General features: G+C 46.8%; 1 protein-coding gene across 1 annotated transcript; it reads left to right on the top strand.

The window, feature by feature from the left end:
* The first annotated feature begins 1,203 nt into the window (after window positions 1–1,203).
* On the top strand, window positions 1,204–10,867 carry LOC102724117 (golgin subfamily A member 6-like protein 4). Its single transcript, XM_047433424.1, is given in 10 exon segments — window positions 1,204–1,564; window positions 3,232–3,351; window positions 3,974–4,033; window positions 4,219–4,299; window positions 4,964–5,051; window positions 5,434–5,762; window positions 5,765–6,292; window positions 6,559–6,619; window positions 7,656–7,758; window positions 7,969–10,867. Coding segments are annotated over 10 exon segments (1,587 nt in total). The 5' UTR covers window positions 1,204–1,480; the 3' UTR covers window positions 8,102–10,867.
* The last annotated feature ends 299 nt before the right edge of the window (window positions 10,868–11,166 follow it).

The following is an 11,166-nucleotide window of genomic DNA, read 5'->3' as shown; positions in this document are numbered from 1 at the left end:
GATTGCTGAGCCCTACTCCAGAGTTTCTGATTCATCAGGTCCAGGGTGGGGCCGGAGGATGTGTATTTATAAGAAGTTCCCAGGTGCTGCTGGAGCTGCTAGTCCAGAGACTACATTTTTGAGAACTGCTCTCATATACTAACTGTAAGTTGCAGAGCTCTAGAAAAAAAGCTTAGTTTGGTGTGGGATAAGAAGCACACAGGTTATGGAGAAAATCATGAAAGATTCAACCCTTGATCCCAGCCTAGTGTGGATTTCAGGTAACAAGCAATACACAGTGACATAACAAATTCTTGGTTTTCATGACTGCAAGTGAGAGCCAAGTATCAAGTGAGAAATTCAGCTTCATTTGCAAGGCTTAGAGAGGCCAGGTGATTCTAGAAAAATGGGCCTTGTAATTCTCTTAAACCAGTAAAGAGCTTTAAGTGGTTATTAAATTGAAAGCTTTGTGTTCTTACTTATTTTGTATTTTATTTTATTTCTTTTGAGATGGAGTCTTGCTCTGTCGCCCAGGCTGGAGTGCAGTGGCGTGAGCTTGGCTCACTGCAACCTCCATCTCCTGGGTTCAAGTGATTCTCCTGCCTCAGCCTCCCAAATAGCTGGGATTACAGGCACCCGCAACCACGCCTGGCTAGTTTTTGTATTTTTAGTAGAGACAGGGTTTCATCATGTTGGCCAGGCTGGTCTCGAACTCCTGACCTCAGGCAATCCACCCACCTCGGCCTCCCAAAGTGATGGCATTACAGGCGTGAGCCACTGCACCCGGCCCAAAAGCTTTGTGTTTTTAAAGATATTAGACATGTTTCTTGTTTTTAAAAGAAATCTTAACAATAATGTAGGAGAATAAGACAAACATTTTTCCAAAAAAGAGAAATTGTTGTGATTATTTTGTCTTATTGGAATGTCGGATACTATAGTCGGCTTCATTAATCATCAAGCATGCTATGGATTTTCCATTTTTATAGGATCTATATCTCAGTTAAGGTAATACTGGTAATTCTTGTACTCCATTTGAAGATGAAAAATATAGGCCAAAATCACAGACTTTGCACAGAAGCTGCATAATGAAGACAGCTCTGGAGGAACACATAGATACACACACACAGACACACATATATATAAAGTATATACACATATATTTTTTAAAGTTTATTTTTTACAGTTTTAAAAGTTTTAAAGCAAAACCCAGCCCTTCCCCTCTCCCAGAGTGGGCGGCCCCTCCCCTTTCTCTGAGTGGGCGGGGACAGCGGTTGCATGGGCAGCTTTCCTTATGATGCCACAGGTCCCTCTGGACATGCTGCTGCCTGGCCACGCCTCCTTTCCCTTTCATCTTTCTCACTGACCAATGGGCTTGGAGCATTAAGGCCACGCCCCTATTCTGCGTTCCATTGGTGCCCTGGTTACGCCACCTGTGGCTCAGTTGCACAGCTGCCTGGTAGGTGACTGGAGGCATTGAGCAGTGCTCACTGGTATTTCGCTGATGTGGCCCCAACCCCGCCTCCCTCCCCACCCCGCGATGTCAGAAAAAACACAACAGGGGAAATTGGCCGCAGCCAAGAAAAAGGTAAAACACACCAGGTCATGGCCCCCAACCCAGCCACAGATCCCCTCCGATGACAAGACCTGTGCCAGAGTCCATACCACTCCTGAGGCATACCAGATGGGGCCCCCCAACCCCAGCCCCTCTGGGCTCCCCCAACCAAAGCCTAGTCAGTCAGCCCCACCCCTTCAGCAAGCAGCCCAGTCCCTGCCCTTGCCAATCACCCCAGGGTGACTTTGGGCAGGTGACTCCTGGGGCTCCCTGCTCCATAATCAGCTCTCACCTCCTGCCACCCCAAGCCCAACCTCCCTGGGCTCTTTGGGCTTGCGTCTCCCAGGACCTGGGTCCCCCAGCCCCAGGCCCTGCCCTCACCAGTCATCCCTGGGTGGCTTTGGGCTGGTGACTCCCGGGGCTCCCTACTGCAGACTCTGCCCTCCCCTCCTGCTGCCCCAAGCTCGACCTCCCTAGGCTTCTTGGGCTGGCGTCTCTGAGGACCTGGGTCGAAACCGTGTGTTTCCCTCCCCCATCGTGGAGCAGCGACTCGGGCATCGCGCTGATGTGGTCCCCTCCCCTGGGAGGAGTGGAATGCAATGATGTCACAGTGCCCCTAGGAACTGTCATTACTGCTGCAAGACCGGCCTTTGATCTTACAACCCAGTCCCCTAAGTTTTCTCACCCCATTTCTGGTTCCTCTGGTTGCAGCACAAATTTCCAGCTGGAAGGGGAGTGGAGACTATGGGACCTAGGAGCAAGAGGTTTCAGGCTGCCTTACTCCCTTAACATAGACATTGACAGTGGGAAAAGCCTACACTTCCCCTGTGAGCTCAAAATGTTCACAGTATCTCTGGGTGGCAATGGGAGAATGGGTTTGGTTTGGTTTTTTCCCAGGCTTCTACTTTCCAGAGAGACTTTAACATTTTTTTCTGAGTTCTCCACGGTTCTGGGACCAGACTGCCCTTCAGTCAGTGGCCTCTGAAGTGAGATTTGCTCATCTTCTGTGGAATAGATCTTGGGAAACTGAACTTGACAGCTTGAATCTTCCTCATATCGTCTCAACCTGGGGTACTTTGAGTGCCACAGGATAAATGTGGGACATCTTTCTGAAGCATCATTTCCCCTTGATTCTCTTGAGAAAATGCATTAATGTACTTAGGGATGACAGACACATAGGTTTCCAAGCGTATACCAGACTTCGCTCTGAAATGAGGCTTGGGTTGTCCTCTTTCTGATAAATTCCCAGATTTAATAGAAAAGCTGCCTTCTGCCATGAGGACACATTGATATGAAAGTGTGAGAGGTACTGGCACGCTTCTTCACGCTAGCAGACCTGTGAGGATGTATGACTCTAAACCACACGGCCTACAGTTCCTGCCTGCTTAATGTTTACTTTTCTACCTCTGCCCCTGGTTTTGGTCCCTGGAAGCTGCTGATTCATGGCAAAACCCCAGAGCTTGGAGTCAGAGGACTGAGTTTAAGTTCCAGTATTGCCTTTTTTGATCTTTCTTTTTTTTTTTTTTCTATCCATGATATCAATCCCTCTCAGTCACTAAGTGATTGTGACAACACCTTGTACAGTTGTTGGTGGCATTACATCAGATGGTATATAAGGGTATTTTGTCAAAACTGTAAAGGAGGATGTGGCTGTAGGGGCTGATCATTCTCATGAGTGTTACCGCTCTTCTTTCCCACAGTTAAAAGCATATTGGCAGAGGAAGAGCCCTGGCATTCCAGCAGGAGCTAACAGGAAAAAGAAAATCAATGGCAGTAGCCCTGACACAGCCACTTCTGGTGGTTACCACTCACCTGGGGATGTGAGTCTCGGCGGGCCAGGGTCCTGGGGACAGGGGGCCCAAGGGGCAGTAGAGGGTAATTGTTAAGATTGTAGATGGACTGTTGGGTACTGGTTAAGAATTCTGGATTTGAATCCTGCCTCTCCATCTGCTAAGAATTGATTAGGGATTGATTAGCATATGATTTAGGGCAAGTTGCTTGAGGTCTTTGGGCCTCTCTTTTCACATCTGTATAATAGAGGTGGTATTTTTTGACTTCCATTTGTGAAGTTTAAATGAGATTCGTTATTGTTGCTTTTATGTGAATCCTTAGTACATGGCCTGCTGCAAACACCCAGGACACCGAGGAAATGGTCGTTGCTGTTTGATTTTCCTCATCCCCAGTCTCAAGGGGAAGCCAGGCCAATGAGAAGAGCCACTTGCCATCAGGCTGTCCCTTTAGGAGTCACTGAAAGGGCCCCAGGGTGGGATGGTGGGGAGATAAGAACCACGAGAGAAGTTGGCACAAAGGAGTTATGGGAAAAAGGGTCCAAGATAGGCAGAAAAGAAGCTTTTGCCAGTTGATGGGGGAAGAAAGGAAGTCAGAGGGCTTAGACAGTGAGGGGGGACAGAACATCTCCATGTGCACTCTCATCTCTTGCAGTCAGCAACAGGTATCTACGGGGAGGGCCGTGCATCCTCTACTACCCTGGAGGATCTGGAGGTAAGAGGCCCTGGGCCGAGGTGCAGTGACCCTGCAGGCCAGCCCTCCAACCTCCTCCCACAGCAGGGGCTTGTTGCCCCTCTGCCAGCTGAGGCAGCCCACACACCCCCACCAGCCCTAATGATTATTCTCTCTACCCCTCCCCACAATCTTCCTCCAACTCCTTCTCTCTGCATGCACCTCAGAGCCAGTACCAAGAACTAGCAGTGGCCCTGGATTCAAGCTCCGCAATAATCAGTCAACTCACTGAAAACATCAATTCACTGGTAAGAGTCCAGTGGGGTCCCCTGATTACAGCTGGTCAATCCTGGACTCCAGTTTCCTCTTGGGGCCCTGAAGAAAGGAGCTAGGGGCCCCTGATGCCAAGGGCAAATGGGGAGCTGGGCACCCAGGTCTCACCTGGAGGGACCCCAGAGCACAGAACATGCAGCATGGGTCTTCTGCACTGCCCTCTTTGCTGACTCTCTCTTCTCCAGACACCCCTGCTCTAGTCCTTGCCACACATGCCCTGGGGTTGTCACCTCTCTGGGAAGCACTAGCCTGACTGGTTGTCAGGGGTCCATATTTCTGCCCTGCCTCAGTCCCTAATTTGCTTTTTGAGTCTGGACAAGCCATCTCTCCTCTTTATGCTCGTGTTTCTGGAGGAGGTAGAGAGTATCAAAGGTCTCGGTTAGCTCTGAAAGTCAGAGATTTAAAGGCCCCTAGAATGGAAACCTCAGGGCCAAGGGCTCCTGTCTGTCCTTTGCTGTTTTATATCTCTGCTATGAAGAACTGTACCTGGCCTGTACATGCTCAGTAAATGTTTGTTGAATGAATGCACGTTTCTAAATCACAAACTGGCAGAAGGGGGGTGGGCCCTTCTCAAACTCTGTCTCTGGAGGTTCACCAGCCCCTCCCTCCAGGGCCCTTTTCCCCCTTTGCTTTGGGCAGGTTCGCACATCTAAGGAGGAGAAGAAGCATGAGATACATCTGGTACAGAAGCTTGGGAGGAGCTTGTTCAAACTCAAAAACCAGACGGGTAAGATGGGGCTGGCATGACCTGGCAGCTGGACTGGCATTAGAGGGCTGTGGGGGTGACTTAGAATGCCCCAGGGAGGTGGGTGGATGGAAGGGCTTTGAGGCAGAGGGAAAGAGGTCTGTGCCAGGGGAGGACAAGTCTTGTCATCTCCATGAGCCTCAGTGTCCCCATCAGTAAAGAGGGAGGAGTGCCCATTGTCAGCCACCCACAGTGCTCTCTATCTGAAAGTGACTTGGAAGACTGGCTACCATCCGGGTGTGAGGAGTCATTAGCAGTGAGGCCAAGTTTGGGAAGCCTGAGAGGAGGAGCTGTGCACCGAAGGGAGGATTTTTTTTTTTTTTTTGAGAATCCAGAGGCCCTTATTGTCTGCTTCCTTTCTCAGCTGAACCCCTGGCCCCAGAGCCCCCAGCAGGGCCATCTAAGGTAGAGCAGCTACAAGATGAGACCAACCACCTAAGGAAGGAGCTAGAGAGTGTGGGAAGACAGCTCCAGGCTGAGGTGGAAAACAATCAGATGTTGAGTCTCCTGAACAGGAGACAGGAGGAGAGGCTACGTGAACAGGAGGAGAGGCTACGTGAACAGGAGGAGAGGCAACGTGAACAGGAGGATAGGCTACATGAACAGGAGGAGAGGCTACGTGAACAGGAGGAGAGGCTGTGTGAACAGGAGGAGAGGCTGTGTGAACAGGAGGAGAGGCTACGTGAACATGAGGAGAGCAGGAGGAGAGGCTACGTGAACAGGAGGAGAGGCTGTGTGAACAGGAGAAGCTGCCAGGGCAGGAGAGGCTGCTGGAAGAGGTGGAGAAGCTGTTAGAACAGGAGAGGCGGCAGGAGGAGCAGGAGAGGCTGCTGGAGAGGGAGAGGCTGCTGGAAGAGGTGGAGAAGCTGTTAGAACAGGAGAGGCAGCAGGAGGAGCAGGAGAGGCTGCTGGAGAGGGAGAGGCTGCTGGAAGAGGTGGAGAAGCTGTTAGAACAGGAGAGGCGGCAGGAGGAGCAGGAGAGGCTGCTGGAGAGGGAGAGGCTGCTGGACGAGGTGGAGGAGCTCCTGGACGAGGTGGAGGAGCTCCTGGAGCAGGAGAGGCTTCGGCAACAGGATGAGAGGCTGTGGCAGCAGTAGACTCTGCAGGAGCTGGAGAGGCTGCGGGAGCTGGAGAGGCTGCGGGAGCTGGAGAGGATGCTGGAGCTGGGGTGGGAAGCCCTGTACGAGCAGCGGGCCGAGCCACGCAGCGGCTTCGAGGAGCTGGTGCGTTGCCCCACCTGGGGAGGCTGCCCTCTTCCCTAGCCCTCAAGGCCTTTGTTTCCCCACCTGTAAAATGGGGCATTGTAGCCTTCACATGAAATGGTACTTCTAAAGGCATCTGTGAGCCAGAGCCCCGCTCTGATGGCTGTGGGAGAGAGGGGATATTTTTCTAACCTGCCTCCACCCTTCCCGGTGCCATGGGAGGCAGACACTAAGTTCTGGGGTCTCCAGTTTTAGTGGGTGGCCACTGATTGCTTCTCTCTGTCCAGAACAACGAGAACAAGAGCACACTGCAGTTGGAGCAGCAAGTAAAGGAGCTGAAGAAGTCGGGTGAGCTGAAAGAGACTGTAACCTCCGACCCATCCAAGAAGATGTGGGAGGCGGGCACCAGCCTCTGGGGAGGGGAGGTGCCAGGCCACAGGCAGCTGCAGCCTGGGGACAGGTGACCCCAGCACCCTCCGGGGCAGTCCTATGACTGTTTCTTGCTTCCTGCCCTCTGACTTTTAGAGGTGGGTAGCCCTGGGGTCCTCCCAGGTCTGGACATCATCATCCCAGCTAGAGGCATGGAGCCCCCCAATCACAGAGGAAGAGACAGTGGTATAAGAGGCTCCTTATGTCGGGTGTGGTGGCTCACGCCTGCAATCCCAGCACTTTGGGAGGCTGAGGCAGGACAATCACTTGAGGTCAGGAGTTTGAGACCAACATGGCCAACATGGTGAAAGCTCATCTCTACTAAAATTAAAAAAAAAATAATAATTAGCCGGGCCTGGTGGTGCATGCCTGTAATCCCAGCTACTCAGGAGGCTGAGACACGAGAATCACTTGAGCCCGGGAGATGAAGGTTGCAGTGAGCTGAGATTGCACCACTGCACTGCAGCCTGGGACACAGAGTGACACTCTCTCAAAACAAAACAAAACAGACAAACAAAAAAGACTCCTTAGATTCAAACTGGATTCCGGCCTCGGTTCCACTGGTCATAATTCAACTACTTTGCATCTCTAAGTCTCTGTTTCTTTAACTTCAAAAGGAAGTTAGCCTTTTCCTTGCAGAGGTGCTGAGGATTAAATGAGATAATACGTGGAAACATTAGGCATGTAGCACACTTAGCAGATGGTGGTTGGCTCCGCCTGCTTTTCCACCAGTCTGTGGCCTACAGTTTAAATGCTGGGAAAAAGGACGTGAGATTTGATGCTAGGGAAGGAGGCATGGGGTTCTAGGCAAGGGAGACAGTCTCTTAGGCCTGGAGCAAGGGGCCAGGGGCCTGGGCAGGCCACAGAGCCCCACAGTGTCCTCGCTACCCTATTAATGGGCCAGGAATCTGGAAGCCAGCCACCACATGTCCTCATGCCCAGGGTCTTCCGGCAGGTGGAGCTGAAGAGCCAAGAGGCTCCGAGTCTGCAGCAGCAGCCAGACCAGTAGCTGGAGCCCCAGTCCCACAAGGAGCTTGGATGTGCGGACAAGCAGGGTGGTGAGTAGAGCCCTCAGGCGGGGTGGGCAGGCAGGAGCAGGGGAGGCTCGCACTGTGCCCAGATTCCCACCCCCCTCCCTCTCTCTGAAGATCTTAGTGGGCTGAGCCTCACTGATAGCATGGAGGCTGCACCGGGAGAGGACAGGGAGGGTTCTCCCCCATGACAACCCCACTGCACAGCAGATCCAGCAGCTGCTTCCTCTAATGCAGGACTCCCCAGGAGCACCCAGGCTTGAGTGGAGAAGCTGTTGGTACAGGAGAGGCGGCAGGAGGAGCAGGAGAGGCTGCATGCCATTCTTTTCGGGCTGCGGAGAACAGGGAGCTAAACATCACCATCATCTAAGAGCGGGTCAAGGAATTGAAAAAAAAAAACAAAACATTTAAGGGGTTAATATCCTACACAATTCATTTACTTCATTTGAATGTTAGAGCCACTTATGTTTATTTGTGTTTCTAATTTATAGTTTAAATTTATTTGTGTTTCTAATTTATAGTTTAAATTTATTTGTGTTTCTAATTTATAGTTTAAATTTATTTGTGTTTCTAATTTATAATTTAAATTTATTTGTAAAAAGTTAAATGAGAGTGGGTGTTTCTCTCATGTTCACTCTGGCATCTTTTAGCATTTTTTTAATTTGATAATTATAGGACGTTAGCATGCATATCGAGTTTGCCCTTATGTGGTGGGAGTTCAAACACACAAAGACCCACTGTATGCACACAACTGTTCTTGCTGGTTTGGGATAGGCTGCCATGCTTTTTTAATGTTAGTACAGCCTGTATATTCATTACGGAATTCAGATAAAATTTCCTTATGTTCTGCTGTTATGTTTGATCGAATCCTAATCACAGTGAGCTCTTCATTAGCTCAATATGCAGTTTGCCCTCAAGTGCGCGGTCTATTACTTTGTAATATGCCACTGTGAGTACTGACATTTACAGTTGTTTAAAGGTGGAGCACTGGAAACAGCCTTTCCCCCTTTTTCTGTGTATTGGGGATGGGAGTAATAACATTTTGGGGAGGTTTTTAAATCTCCCAGAAGAGGAAAGTGGCCTGCTTTGGCAGGTGTGTGCAGGATAGAATATGTTTCATTTGTTCCGGTGCCAAGAATGAGCGCTGTACTACGGTAGTTCCCTTAGGATTTGTATGTGCTCTGGGCTCATGAAGATACTGCCTCATGAGCTGTGGCAGTTGTACTCTTTTTTGATGACCTGAAAAGGGATTATTTCTGAGGAATGAAAGGCTCCCATCATGACTGTGGATGTGGAAAACCTTTTCTAGCTGAGAGCATTTATATCTACAATACATTTTAAAGTCAGAGTTCATGTTCCCTGTTTTAATCACATGACTACATGTCCCAGTACACAAAAGGGCACTGGTTGGCGTTCTCCTTAATGTATTTAGTAAAGATCAGAAGAAATCCTTTAAGAGTTTAAATGCCCCTGGAACAGGCATATACAGGCTCTAGTCAAGAATGAATTCGAGTGAAGGAAAGCTGTGTGACACCTGGCATTCCTCTGTGTTCATGGAGCTTATTTGAGGCTAGAAGATGGATTTTACCATCTAGACCTCTCTGGCTAATAGCTAGTCTTCAACCATCTGACATAGGAATTTACTTCTTTTCCTTGAATGGAGAACACTTTAAAAATAATAACAAACATTATTATAAACTAATATATGTGAGAGTACTTAGTTGAAACAAAAAGGAGTTTTAGTAGACAGTATTATACTACATTTGAAAATCAAGGAGCAGTTTATGCAACGTAAAATGTTTACAAACTGCAGCGCAATCTACTGTTTGTGACTGTCAAAGTGTCATGAGGAAAGTGTCTATACAATCACAGAGTTATATTTCCTCACAAAGTTCTTTACGAAGAGTGAAATATGTTTTTATACCTCTCAGTTTCAGTTAGAGGCATATTTTGTGTAATATTTATGGCTTAAAATGGACTAAAGGTCCTGTTCTTGCCTTTTCTGAACTTGCCGCTTTTGCATTCTTTGAGTTCAGTTTAAAGACACTTACTTTAACTCCATTTTAAACCCTCGGGCTAGAAATCGTACCACTGTTAATTAGCCACGTTATTTGGTCTAACAGTTTTTGTTTATCATTCTGAAACTGAGCTTATCTAATACATTGATAAATTATTTCAAAGGTATTTTTATAGTTCAAATCGCTTCACTTTTACCCTGACACGTATAAATGAATAGGAATGACCTTCAGATAGCGTTTAGCAACTGTAACCAATCTGACAATAATGTGTTCATCAGGTACCTGTGGATTAAATCACATACTGGCATATTTAAGATGAATGTCAGTCTGAAAAATAAATATACTATATTAATTCAAATACGACTCTTTGTGTAGGTATTTTGTCATATGTTTAAGAAAAAGCTAAAGAGAATGGAAATCCTATGACAATAACTCAAGTCTTTCTTCAAAGTGCATGCAGTCTTTTGCAGTACCTCATTCAGCCAAGTATTTGTTCTCTACCTCATTCAGTATAAGGCAGCCTTTAATTTGCTTAGAAGGCAACATTAGAAGGTTAGAGTTCAGCAGGAACATAGAATTTTAAAATGTGACTTCAACTGAATAAATTTGAATTTCTGTAGGGAGTAAAGAATCAAAACACCTATTTAAAGACTGCAAAATATGATAATTATTTTTAAAGTAATTGATTAAACCTGGTAGGTTTTCCCAAAATGAAAAACAATCAGTTCTAAAACCAAAGCTGATTTTTAGAAAATGTGAAAATGTAAATCAACCCTATCCATAATAGATTCTCTAAAACTTTATCTTACAGTCACTTTCAAATAACTATTCAAAAATGTAACTGCTATATTAACGTCTTAAAATAATTTAAAACATTTTAAAATATGAATACTGTAGTTTAAAACAAAGAATCTAGGGGAAGGAAAAGTAGACAAAGAAATGCCAATTCCAGTCCAAAGCTGTATTTGCCAAGTTTTCTTAGAATGACTTTTACCGATTTATGAATTCTTATACACAGAATGCATAATGGAAATACTGATTTTTGTCTAAAGTGGCATTATTGACTGCTGCTGTGATGCTACTGTAATGTAATACATTATTAAATTGTTTCAAGGTGCTGTTTTGCCTAAAAATTTTGTGTGTCTTGAAAACTATAGTATTGGGTATTGAGACTCTGCAAATTCTCGGCATGCTTGGCATGAGGTAATCGGTTTTTATTCTTACAAAATTGTAACTATGTAAGTGTGTTTATTAAAAGAACACAAACTAAAAAAGTTAACAGGAATTAAAGTTGTGGGATGAAAAAGTTACAGGATAAAAAAATACTGTGGAAAAGTGGCAAAAAAAAGTTGTGGAAAAAAAGTAAAAAAAAAGTTTTATGAAAAGTTATTTTAAAAAGTTATGAAAAATTAGTTAC

Source organism: Homo sapiens, chromosome 15 (assembly GCF_000001405.40).
Source record: "Homo sapiens chromosome 15, GRCh38.p14 Primary Assembly".
Classification (NCBI taxonomy): Eukaryota; Metazoa; Chordata; class Mammalia; order Primates; family Hominidae; genus Homo; species Homo sapiens.
The sequence above is the reverse complement of the archived record's forward strand: the minus strand, read 5'-3'. Positions and strand labels throughout refer to the sequence as shown.